Source organism: Homo sapiens, chromosome 8 (assembly GCF_000001405.40).
Source record: "Homo sapiens chromosome 8, GRCh38.p14 Primary Assembly".
Taxonomy (NCBI): domain Eukaryota; kingdom Metazoa; phylum Chordata; class Mammalia; order Primates; family Hominidae; genus Homo; species Homo sapiens.
In genome coordinates this window covers 60730380-60743863 of record NC_000008.11, presented here as the reverse complement: position 1 = coordinate 60743863, position 13484 = coordinate 60730380, and the positions used below count along the sequence as shown (strand labels likewise).

Below are 13484 nucleotides of genomic sequence, written 5' to 3'. Positions count from 1 at the left end.
AATCTGTATACACAGGCATTAATTTATCTTTCACAGACCTAGGGCATAAACAACAAAATTTATAATGGAAAGATGTCTTTGTGAATATGATAAACTTAAATCTGTTCTTTTATAAATTCTGAATGATAACAAAAACGTCAGCTTACAAAAAAGGAAGATTCCCTACTTCAGTGCTGGGTATCCAAATCTTTTAGAGACCAAACATCTTCTGTGAATTATCATTTACTGTGATTTTCTACAGTTTGCAATTAAAACTCACACTAACAAAGTCAACAGTTAGTAAAATAAGTATCACAGAAGTATACGATTTGCAGCTTCCCAAGAAAAATATCACAATATAAAAGGAGAGATGGAGGAGACTACCACACACGCATAAATCTTTGCTAGAAACCAAGTGTCAGTGTATTTTTAAAACACACACACACAAAGAAAGAGAAAGAATAAAGAAGAATTGAGAGAAGGAAACAAAAGCGTTTGTCTTGTGAGCATTCTGAGTCCTCTGTCCATCTCCCTGCTAGCGGTGACCCAGCTCCTTGTCAGCAGGGACCCAGTCTTAGTTATCTACATATCCTTAACATCTAGCACAATCCCTGGGACAGGGAGATTGATGCCTGAATAAAATAAATGCATAAGCCAATAACAAATAAAAATTAAGGCACTCATAATGAAAAAGCTTTTCATAGAGTTTAAAGAAAAATTCGATCAGACAAGTTAGCCATGTTGAATTTCACACTGCAATGCAGAGGTAGGCTCTGTGTCCCCTTACCTGATGCACAGGCACTTTCTGCGGGGTGTTCTGGGGTGATGGGTGGAGCTGTGCCCAAGGCTGGTGATGAGGGTGTGGAGGTGAAGACTGGTGGTGCAAGCCCGGGTGAGGCTGCAGTGGAGGACAGGTTGGCAACTGCTGAAAAGATGGCTGTTGACCAGGATGTTGTTGGCCAGGTATCAGTCGTTCCTGGATTGCTTGTGGGTCTCCAAGGCCAACACCAGGACAACCATTTGGCCTCATGTGCCCAGTCAATTCCCTTGGTGCCGAGGACATGCCTATAAATGGACGAGACTGCTGCATGTTTCTGGGGCCCATATTCCTCTGTCCGATTCCCATGGCACCAGGGGGCTGGTGAGATGGCTGAGGATGGGGCATATTTGGATAACTGCCAACTTCCATTGGTATCCCAGCACTTCCCGGCCTGACTTGTGGAGGAGGAGTGCCTGCTGGATTACTCATTGCTTTCATGGGTGACATGGGAGGTGGAGAGGCATAAGTTCCCTGAGGCTGTGAAGGATGCATAGTTTGTGTGTTCATTTGGTTAAGTGAGCCACTGGGGTGGATGGGCTGCTGGTGCATTAGTCCTTGACCACTGTTTGATGGGAATCCTACAGCATTGGGGTATCTTGGTACGGACTGATTCATTGGAGTATTATTTGTAAGGCCTAAATTTTGATTCATCCCTGTATTGTTAACTAATCCCTGATTTAGGTTACTGTAAGGATATCGAGAATACTGCCCTGAGTTGTTTATAGTAGGAGAGGGGACTGTCTGGCTCCGAGAACTAAAGTTAAGGGTTTGCGGCCTAACAGCCCCTTGTTGGGGAGGATTCGGGGAGAATCTGGGACTGTGGGCAACGGATTCTCCATGGAGAGCAGTAGAGGGGTGGTGATGGAACTGCTGCACCGAGTGACGCAAGGAAGGTGCCATGCTGGGACTCTGCTGGGGCACGTGGGACAAGTGGCCAGGTCCTGAGGTGGCAATAAAAGGATTTCCCTGATTGAGGCCCTCTTGGCCTTGGGAAAACTGGCTCATCCTCTGCTGTGGCTGACCATGCTGCTGCATGGAAAAATCCCCACGTGCCATATAGCTGCCCATCTGCTGCATGTGCTGAGGGTGGCCCTGTGCAGGGGGCCCCGACGGAGCCGGCTGCGGTGGCTGCGGCTGTGGCTGCTGCTGCTGGTAGGGGGCTCGTATCTGGTCTGGTACCTGAACAGCCCTGGGGCCCCACATGGAGCTGCTGTCCACAAAGGATTGCCCATGCCTCTCATTCTGCATGCCAGGGTAGACACCCATCTGACCGCCACCACTGCCACCATGGGGCACCTGAGGAACGGGAGGGGTGTGATACTGCGAGTGCGGAGACGCGAGTCCGTTCCCAGGGGTGTTGCTCATCATTCTGTTCGGCTGATCCATCAGATGCATCTTTTGTTGTTCATACTGATTATAGTGATCAAAATGTGTCAGCTTTGTTTGATTTTGATTAGTTGAAGGATGATGAAGGGATGGCTGTAAAGAGGCAAAGCCTTGGTCTATTGGCATTTGCTGACCCATAGGATTTACTGGATTTTCCGGGTAACCACATTCTCCGAGGCCTTCAAGACCTTCACTGAAAATATTCCCATCCTCGCCAAAAAGACTCATCATTCCTGGATCTGCCATCTTCTTCCAACACACGGCTCCTCCAAACCACAGCTCAGGAGCTTGCCTGTGCTTCACTTCACTGAGGTGTTTGCCCTCAAAGCCTATAATCCTTAACTAATCTTCTTCATGTCATTCCATATTTCTTTAATTCTCTTGGACCCTGCAGTGTCAGGCAAAGTCTGGATATAGGTCCTGGAAGGGAGTTTGGGGTGGGGGAGAAGAAGGAAGAAAACAAAGAATTAGGATCCAATGATAAAAACTGCCAGTATTTTGTACATCTGAATTTGGTCCCCATCAACAATACGAATCTAGCTCCCTCGCTGAGCTGTATTTTATAAATTTAGTTCACTTTAAGAGAAACTCATTAGCTTCTACCAGAAGCATCATTATGATCGGTTACTTAGAAAGCAAGCAAAACACTAACCTTAACCTTAAATTAATCCATTCACTACACTTCCTAGCGTTCCATTCTTGGATGAAACAGAACAAAAGAACACAACGTGAAGCAGCAGCAGCTGCCACAGCAGGCAAGCAGATGTATGAATATAGCCAAGCAGCTCATCTGCTGAACTAAAGCCCTGGAAATGCTCTGGTTACCAACAGCCCGCCCTTAACCTTATTCCCCTGAGCGGTGTAATCAGATGAGCAACAGCAGCACCAAGGGCTGTGAAAAGCTCAAGTTAGTTAAATTGACTAGAGGATTATACAAATACCAAAATCGGTCATTTCATACAAATTAGATATTTACAGCCCACATACAACTATGTAACTGCAACAGAGGCATCTAACAAGAAAGTGTTCATAATGATGTTGAAAAGCAACCTTGAGAACAGTACAATAAATTCATAATTTCATTATGTTTAATGGCAGAAATATACAAGATTCAGAAAGAAACTAAAAGAAAAGCTTTCATTGTCCAAGACGACCAATTTCACTCATGGCTCTGAGCCTACCATGGTCCCAGTCTGCACTGACACAGAGCAGCCCAATCACCAGGCTCATTATTCACCCGCAGGCATGCTGGGCTCTGGTGGACCAGAATCCCACGTGACCACTCAGAGAAAACTAGTTGAGTGGATACTTTGTGGACACCAACTATTCTCATAACTAGAAATACAACTTTCTCCAAAACTGAAAATTATTTTTACAGAATAAAGTTCAAAATATGCTCTCCTCACCATTGCCTTAAGTCCTTTTGGGACAAGGCAGGACCTAAGCAGGAAGGGAGACAAGTTGGCAGGCACTTGTGTTCGCACCCTACGTGCTTCCAGCGCACTGTGTACACTATGTAACATGCTGCATCTTATTCAAACTCTTCCTAACAGATCCTGTGTCAGATTAAAATAACTAATTTAAAGAATGCGTTGACAATCTAAACAGGAAAGTGTTTTTGTTGAACACTAATTAAATCAACGGCCTAATAAAGACCTAATTCATATAGAGAAAATGACTGAAATCTTAAACATCTTTGGAATTTAACTCATTTTTTTCTCTTTTATAAGGACATTAAGCATTGTGTGATACTAGCTCACTTGAAAAAAACAATATCTTGTTGAAGAATTTCCAAAGTGATGATAAAAACAGGCTCAGTCATAAATTCTACTGACACCCTTCCATAAGAGCATGGGAATGAACAATGGGCTAACCAACACTCCTGAGAACTTACCAGTAAGACACATAAAAATTCTGTTTCTGCCTGCCGTATTCTAACACATTCCTAACAAGGGGAGAATTTTGCTTACAGAAAATGTAAACAACATTCCTGTTCACTGTCAGAACTACAGACATAACACCTGAGAGGGTCTCCAGGCCTGTAGTTTTCAGGTGACAGCTGTCAACTAAAGTCAAAGGTCTCTTCACTCTGCCGCTAACTGCCATGAATTTTCTGATCTACTTTCTCCAAATACAGAGGTCAGATGGGTGAAAATAAGGTGAGCATGAAAGCTATTTTACTGAAAACACGCTGCTTTACTATACAACTATTTTAAAATCCAAAATAAAGAGAAGTAGACATCTCCAGTGCCAGTTGCAACAAATATTCTTAAATACACTCCTAAGAAGGCTAAGCAGTCAGTCATCATTTATTCAAGGCTCATTCTAACTTTCAAAGAAATAAATACTGGAATGGACTTGATAATAGCTTAAACCAGCCATGCAGCCCAACCACTTACCAAAATAACCTTTCAAATTAGCTTAAGGAAAGTAACGTCTACATATGTGTCCTGGGGAGCAGCTTCATCCTCCAGGGTCCGCCAACTGTTATGGGAAGAAATGCTACTGACTCGATGGGGCTCCAGGCCAGCTCCAGGTAAAAGTGAGCCCAGAGGGAGTGGATGGCTTAGCCCACTGGTGACCTTCTCTTGCAAGCCCACTGAGCTCAGAGGCAGAGGCAGAGTCAGATCAAGCTTGGAGAAGTGGCGATGAAGTTGGTGCTAACTTTTTATCAGCTTAAGATTCAGAAGAGGGACAAGTTGCCTATGCGCATGAGTAGGGAAAAACAGCCCTGCCTGAGAGTACCCATACTGATCCTTGGCTGTGCTCCTCTTCCTGTTCCCTACGCCCTTCTACTAAGTGTCCATCTCCCAGACGCTTGAAAAACGCCAGCATTATATGGTATCAACTAAGCATGTCGCTCGGCACAACTACAACCATGCTCAGGTAAGGTCCAGGCAGAGAAGTTCAAAAACTGGCTTTGCAGTCTGCCATTAGTGACCGCTCACTGGGACAGCCACCAACGCCTTCCTGCCCCTTTTCTGACCTCAAGACCCAGCTGGCAACTATGCCAGGAATCCATCTGGTAGCTGCATTTCATATTTCTGATTTGAGATAATCTAATTAATTTGTTTTGGTCCTTTTTTTAAATTTGATCAAGACCATCTGAATGCCCACTTTCCCAAGTCGCAGCTGCATTGTATAATTTTGTGTTTCTATAAAAGATATTCATTCAAAGCCCTATTTTGAAAGCTTCCCTCTCGTCTACACTCAATATCTAGATTTTCTGTGTCTAGATGAACACTGTTCAATGGGCCACAAATGCGAGCTATTACATGTAATTTTTAGTTTTCTAGTAGCTACATTTTAATAGTAGACCAAAAGAGTGAAATCCATTTTACCAATTTCTATTTAAACCAATAAATGCATAATACTGTCATTTCAACAGGTAATCAATATAAAAAAATGAATAAGCTAGTTTACGTATTTTGGTATTGAGTCTTTGAAACCCAGTATGTAATTTACACTTACAGTACATCTCAATTCCTATTAGCTACATTTCAAGTGAAAAAATGGACATATGGGGCTGTGGCTTCCATACTGGACAGCATAAAGTATTTAAAAAGAAGAAACAGAAATAACAAATTAGCAATGAAATTTTTTAAAGTCTCATAATTATCACCTGGGTAATAAACATTCAAGTTGCATTTATGTTTTATTTGGTGTTACATAAAAATTAACTCTCAAATCACAATTATTTATTCAAAATGTATTTACTGAGCACCTACTATGATCCAGGCACTAGTCTAAGAGCTGGAGAGAGATCTGTGAATAAAACAAAATTCCCTCTTGTCCTCATGGAGCTTATATATCTGTAAATGATGCATCTCTTAAATAAGAACTAAGATTCAGGGCTTATGTTATTAAAAATATAGGTTGCCATTTTACAAAATACTCCTCGGTAACTTCTGATGAGGAATAGTCTAACTAAATGTGAGAATATGTAGCAAACGGTACCTATGCATATAATGGAGACATAGTAATTCAAGTTTCTACTCAGTGCCCTATTGGCCAGCATTTTCTGAGATGTGAACTAAAGGACAGTTCAGAAGATGCATGTGTTTGGGGGTGAGGAGGGGTCACAACGAGACCACTCAACTAACAGAATCATCAACATTAGAGGCACACTGTGAAACCAATTACAAACATTTCAGAGTTAGGAAGCACTCTGAAGACCTTCTAATCCAAACCCCTCCTCATTTAACAGATGAAAAAAATCCTTTTATAGACTGAGAGGAGTAAACTTCTTCTACAAAACATTTTAGTGACAGTTCCCAAAGATGAAAGAAATGAATGAATGAATGAAACAGCAGCTTACTAGTGAGGACAAAATATTAAAGGCCTGCATCAAGTCTGTTTTATTCAGAGAATCACTAAAACTGCTGCTGCCATCAGCAAATAGAAGTGAATTTCCTTTCCAAAAATGTTTTTAAATCATACTATATATAACTTTTAGGAAACAAGCATATATCAACACCAAATTGGAGCTATTGGTAAATTTTATTGGGAAATAGTCAAATGAAAAACGGGCAGATCCAAGCACAGACAGAATCAATGATAAAAGCAACGGGTGCGCAAGAAACCAAGATGAAAGAAATGTCACTGAAAATATTAATATTTTGAAAAATATATGTATATATAAAATTTCTTAATTATAACACATGTTAAATTTTTACTTATTAAATTTATTTTATATATAGTGATTTTCTGACCTTCCAAAACAATATAAACAATTATTTACTACACTCTTCTCAAAGTAGAATGGCATTTGTATAGCTGAGTTTTAATTTTGTAGTGACGCAGAACCTTTTAGCGTCACAGGTGTGGACTAGAAACCTAGCAAGGAGATAGGTGAATACGTAACACCTTTCACATGCAAAGTATCTCCTATAGCTCAAACACTATTTGTCCTATTGTGTAAGTAAAATGTCATCCAAGGGAAACTTTTTTGATAAACAGCCAACACGTGGGCAAGAGTGAAATCATAGGACATTTGCCTATTGGATACTGAAGACTATTTTGCTGCTTATGGTTTGATTTTGAGTTGTTCTATTTAAATTTCTCTCTTCCACCTCCAAAGAGCGTGAGGTATAGAACATCACTGTGATAATGATTCTGGGGATGAGGGTGGAGCATGAATCAGAATTTCCAAGGAAGCATTTTGCAGCTAAAAAAACAGCACATCACCACCCTCATCATAACCCATGGAGACACCTCTCAATCATCAAGGCTGCAAAACATATCAAGAGAGGCAAAGAATCCACACACTGGTAGGTGGACAGACCGAAGACAAAGGGCTCACACTGCTGAGCTTCCACTCAAAGTGAAAGTCCTTTCAGCTAGATCCTGAATCCGGTTAACAGGAATCTCCTCCCACTGCCCCACCCACAACCCAGCCCCCAACAGCCACTTGGGAACATCTAGCAGGACCAATGCTTGCTGATGAAGGAGACATCTATCCAACTGACAAGAACCTGGATAAAGAATCAGGAAGTGCCCCCCAAGTCACCAACACCAGCTTATCAGTTCACCACAAAGTATTTTCCGTATTTGCTTCATGGGTCAAATGATGCCCTTCCTGAACCCCCTGGGTTGGCCAAGGGGGCCAAGACCACATTTTCTTCCTGGCCAAGACCACATTTTCTTCCTCATTAGTATGCTAGGGCATTGCCAATACTCTATGACGGTGCTGTGTAATCCAGAAGCCACCAGCCACATGTTGTTATTTAAACTACTTAAACTAAATAAAACTTAAAATTCAGTTCCTTAGTCGCACAAGCCACATTCAAGTGCTCAAAAGCCACATGTGGTTGGTGGCTACCTACTCGACAGTGCCTATAATGAACATTTCCATCACTGCAGAAAATTACATGGAAAGCACTCCTATGTATTTCTTCTTAGAGGTAACATGTTTAAACAAAGACCATATTAAATAGCAGCAATCCTCTTTCATAAAAAATATTTTCTCCTCTTTCAGAGATTAGTATTCTTTTAAAGGTCCATATCTACCCTTTGGGATGAAATATATGTTATTTTTTCCATATATCATATTTTATGTTAACTATACTTACAACCTATGTCTCCTTTCTGTATTATCTCCCAACATATATTCTTATTTCTTCATAAATAATTTTCAGTATGTTAGGAATAATTCTCAACTATACACAATTCAGAAAAAGATTTAGAAAAAAAAGAAGTATGTGAAGTCCTTCTAAGGTCTGTTTGTCCCCAAGCATCATATTAAAAATAAAACCATAAATAGTAATAAGGATTGTACTGGTAACCTCCATTCATATTACTAGGTTACCTCCCATTTTGCTGATATTAACAGAAGAGACACATTTTTAATAAGGAAAACCACTGACATCGTATAGGGCAACGCTACGCCTTATGTTAGCATTCGCTATGACAGTAACACCATCTCCATCCACCTCTTCAACCTAGCCAAACAATGGGAAATAAGCCTAGATCCTTCCTGTCATCATTCATTTAAAAAATATTCAAGGTTAACAGACACTGTGTATACAGTGTTGAACGAAGCAGATGTGGCCCTGTCCTCGTGCAGCTTGCAGTTTGAATAAACGCCCCAGTACATCCCACATATTCAGTGCATTTCCCAACCTGCTAATGCTCTCTCCCAGATATTTATGGGTCTAACTCCTCCTCCCTGTTTACACTAGCTCTGAAGTAATCAGACCTTCATGGTTTAGTGAACCACAAAAAATTAGAAATCTAATCAGTTCTCCTAATTCTGGTCTCAACGCTTTCACACTACTGATTGAATGATCTTATAAAACACAGATTACATCATACCTCTCCCTGATTAAAATCCTTAAAGGACCTCCCATAGCTTTCAGGTTCCAGTCCAAATGCTCCAGCATGCTTGAAGGCACTAATAATCAAATCCTTATTGACCTGTCCATTCTCAACTCCCTTAACTCCCTTCCCTCTATCCCCTGAAGCACTCACAAACACCCCCATTAGGTATATCAAACTACTCAAAGTTTACCAACCATCCATCAGCTATCTCATACCTTCCTCGCCTTCACACCCATGGTCTCTTCCCTGGCCTCCTTATCCCCTCACTGTAGAGGCTGGCCTCTTTTTCATCTCAGTTCCTTTGTTATCACCCATCTTCGGAAGCTTCCTGACCCTCAACCCTCCCTCTTCAGGCTGATTTCAAAGCCCTTGCTAGCAGTACCACCACATCAACATGGGCAGAAGCTACAAAAGTGCCAAGCACGCTACTATTCTTATGTGTTCACCTCCCTCTCTTTCTGGCGACTGGAGCCTTGCCATGTGAAGTGGAATCCTGAGAGACAGGACCCCTGGCACCCCCGGGAGCTGGTAAGAGACGCAGACTCTCAGGCTCACCTCAGACCTCCTGCACCAGAATCTGCCTTTATTAACAAAGGCCCCAAGTGATTCCTGTGCATGTGAAAGTTTGGGAAGTCCTGCCCTCAGACTCTGAGCTCCTCCTACAGGATAGCACACTGACCACTCAGTTAATATAATGGATCAACAACAAATGGCACATGTTACAAAGAATATTATAAAGCAATACAAAGATATGTCACTTAAAGAAAGTAGTCTTGACATTTGTGTCTGACAAATAAACAATACTGACTTCATTCAAAGAATTATGAACAGCCCTTAGTGACAAATTTAATCTGTAACAGTTTACAAGGAGTGGGTATCTAAAGATGGTTTAATTTTAAAGATATGCCCATCTGTTTGCCAATCATTTGTGCAAGTCAAAAAAATGCAGTTAACATTAATATCTAATGCTATGTTACATAACATACTATTTCACAGGTTTCTTGCAGAAATCTTTCAGTTATTTCTACATAACTTTGAAGACTCTGGATATTCTGAGTAGCCTTTATGATAAAAAAAAAAAGCTGTTCTTTTGTTCCTTCATGCAGTATTGAGGCTAACGTTTCCTTTCAAGGCAACTAATGAAATAGCACTTGGCTAACAGCTTATACTAAGTGCATGCCCACAGCACTAGCTTTTTCCAAAGTGGTCAAAAGGAGTATATTACCCCATACATAAATTATGCCACAAAAGCACAAGGATCATGAAAATTTGTGTCCTTTACACCCTGCAATTCAAAATTCAAATACCTCTCTGAAGCTAACTCCTAAAGGCTAAGCCCACTGAGAAGGTGGCCAGCACCTTGACCCTAACGTGGAGACAGCTGACCTGCTGCCGCAGTGCAGACACTAAGAAAATATGTCCAGCAGGGTCTTCATTCCATGTACACAACATGTCCTAGGAACAGATGGGCACACATTCTAATAGCACCTGAAGTACTCAACATTGTATGGCAAAAGAGAAATGAAGACAAACATGTATCTATATATACCATACCTAGGTGTAGATCACATATGTAGCTACATAAAATATGTGTATCTATCCCATATCTTTTTTTTTTTTTTAAGAGACAGGGTCTCGCTCTGTCACCCAAGCTGGAGTGCAGTGGCACAATCATAGCTCACTGCAGTCTCCCAACTCCTGGGCTCAAGTAATCCTCCCAGTGCGGGCTCCCAAGTAGTTGGGACTATAGTTGTGTACCACCACACCCAGCTAATTTTTTTTTTTTCCTGGGAAACAAAGTCTCACTATGTTGCCCAAACTGGTCTTGAACTCCTAGGCTCAGGGAATCCTCCTGCCTCAGCCTCTTAAAGTGCTGGGGTTACAGGTATGAGCCACTGCACCAGGTCTCATATCTTTTGAATGTTATCCTAATTAATTGTAATATGGTAGAGAAGAAAATCAAATGAAGAGACAGGTCTAGAAATAAGTAAATGAAAACTTTTTAAGTAATTTATTTTGGATAGGAAAAAAATTAAATTTCAGAAATGTATTTCAACCCACCTGGCAAGAATGCTTACAGTGCAGACTTATGGAAGAGTAATGTATATTTTACAAAATTTGCTGATTGCTAGTATGTATCTTGCTTAATATTATAAAATATCCTGGGTTTTGTAAAGCCCAGGGTGGTGTATAAAGGCTAGTAACACCATGTTTATTAGCCTGATTTTAAAAAAATCACCATTAGGAAAGATTTTCCCACTTATTCTAGACTTATTTCAAGCTACTGACTTGACACACAGAAGCTCCAGGTGATGTCAAGCCTACAAAAAGTGAGGGTGGAACAGAAGGAAGGGAAGGAAGGAGCTGCCCTGTGGCCATGCTCTGTCTGGGGACCCCGTGGCAATCACCAGCTCCTATAAGGCTGACACTGAACCTCTGGAGGAGGATGCAGAGGTGAGGCAAGGGCAAGCATGCAGAGGGGCTGAGAAAGCAGCAAACAGCTAGCTGCTCTTGTAAGAAGCGTGCTCTTCGTGTACTGACTGCAGTTGTCACTGATTAACTAACTGATTTGGCAATTTCCTACATTCTTCTACATTTTAAAAAATTTCTGGAAAGCTGAAAAGGGATCTTTTTTCATATTCTGGGGGAGTTTAAAAGTGTACTGAATCCTGCCTGGTTTGAAAGGCAAGGGATAGAAAGGGTGTAAACAGTCTTTTCTGATATACACCACTGACATTCTTTTCCTTAAAGGGAAAAAAACAAAACAAAACCCTGGGCAACATCACAACTGAAAAGAATTTGTCTATTCTCTTTGCTAGAACAGTGCACATGTGATAGGAAGGGAGTCTTATCCATCATGAATAAACCTGAGCACAGGACAGGCAAAGCATCACAGCATACCAATGGCAGGGGCCACACAGGGAGCTCCAGGGCTTTCGAAGACCCATGCCTGTTAAGGCAATGCAAAAAAGAAATACACAGGAATTATAAAAATTCAGATTTCCATTAGGGAAGCAAGCAATACAAACAGGAGTTCAAACTGTAAAGGAAGGTTGAGATCTTTGGAAGAGTATTAGAAAAAGTATTTTGGAAAACTGCACCCAATCTCAAAAAGGTAAACCTACAGGAAGAAAAAAAATGAAGAAAACAAATGTAACTTATTCAGTGACTATGACACTAAATTTTGGTTTCAAATCAAGTTATATTTGACAAAGGAGATGGAATTAAGGCTGAAATACAGAGTTAACAGTTGCATATCCAATATTTCACAGTCATTTCAACTTATAACAAATTTGGGAAACATTTTTTCTATGCAGTAGTCCCCCTTCATCCTGGGGATACGTACCAAGACCTCTAGTGGACACTCAAAACCATGCACAGTACCAAACCCCATTGCCGTCAGTTGGAACACATTTCTATCCATGTCTTCCACCCACAAATTTAATGTATTTTCCATCTTAACTAAGCATTTATCAGGCACTGTGACTGTAACTTTTGCAGTTTGAGATACAACAGCAAAATTAGCACAAATTTGTTTTTCCTTCCCCACAATTTAACTGATAGAAGATTCATTCTTACCATAAATAATACTTATGATTTATTTATAAGATGTATATCTCAATACACAAACTTTTTTCTTTATGAGCTTTTACCTTTTCATTTAAAGGAAGCATTTTCCTGCTTATCTTTGGCATATCCAAATCACCAGCATCACTACTCTTGCACTCTGGGGCCATTCTGAAGTAAAATAAGGGTGACTGGAACACAAGCACGTTGACACTGCCACAGTTGACCTGATAACCACAAGATGGCTACAAAGTGACTGAATGGGCAGGTAGCATCTACAGTGTGGGTATGCTGGACAGAGGAATAATTTATGTCCTGGATGGGACAGTGCAGGTCAATGCAATACTTCATCATGCTACTCAGAAGGGTACACAATTAAAAACTTAGGAGTTATTTCTGGAATTTTCCATTTAATATTTCCTTTTTTTTTTTTGAGACAGAGTCTCGCTCTGTCGCCCAGGCTGGAGTGCAGTGGCGCGATCTCAGCTAACTGAAAGCTCCACCTCCCGGGTTCACGCCATTCTCCTGCCTCAGCCTCCCAAGTAGCTGGGATTACAGGCGCCCGCCACTATGACCGGCTAATTTTTTGTATTTTTAGTAGAGACAGGGTTTCACCATGTTAGCCAGGATGGTCTTGATCTCCTGACCTCGTGATCCACCCGCCTCGGCCTCCCAAAGTACTGGGATTACAGGCGTGAGCCACCACGCCCGGCCTCCATTTAATATTTCTATACCAAAGTTGACCGCAGGTAACTGAAACCACTGAAACTGAAACCTTGGAAAGCAAAAACTTGGACTGGGGTGGGGCAGGGGGTCTACTGTACCTACATTTATCATTAATGCAAGTAGGTTCTACAATGCCACCATAATCAAAACTATAAATATCACACAGCGAAACATGCCATCTTTTAGC

The 13484-nt window shown here is 41.2% G+C and overlaps 1 protein-coding gene across 11 annotated transcripts in view; it reads right to left on the bottom strand.

Moving 5' to 3' along the window:
• The window catches only part of CHD7 (chromodomain helicase DNA binding protein 7), a 189289-nt gene that overhangs the window by 124165 nt on the left and 51640 nt on the right, over window positions 1-13484 (bottom strand). For all 11 annotated transcript variants that reach the window (XM_011517553.3, XM_047421945.1, XM_011517555.3 and 8 more), the window contains one exon: window positions 767-2605. In XM_011517553.3, the coding sequence (XP_011515855.1) occupies window positions 767-2431 (1665 nt within the window). In that variant the 5' untranslated portion in view covers window positions 2432-2605. Of the gene's footprint in view, window positions 1-766; window positions 2606-13484 lie in introns of those variants that run through there.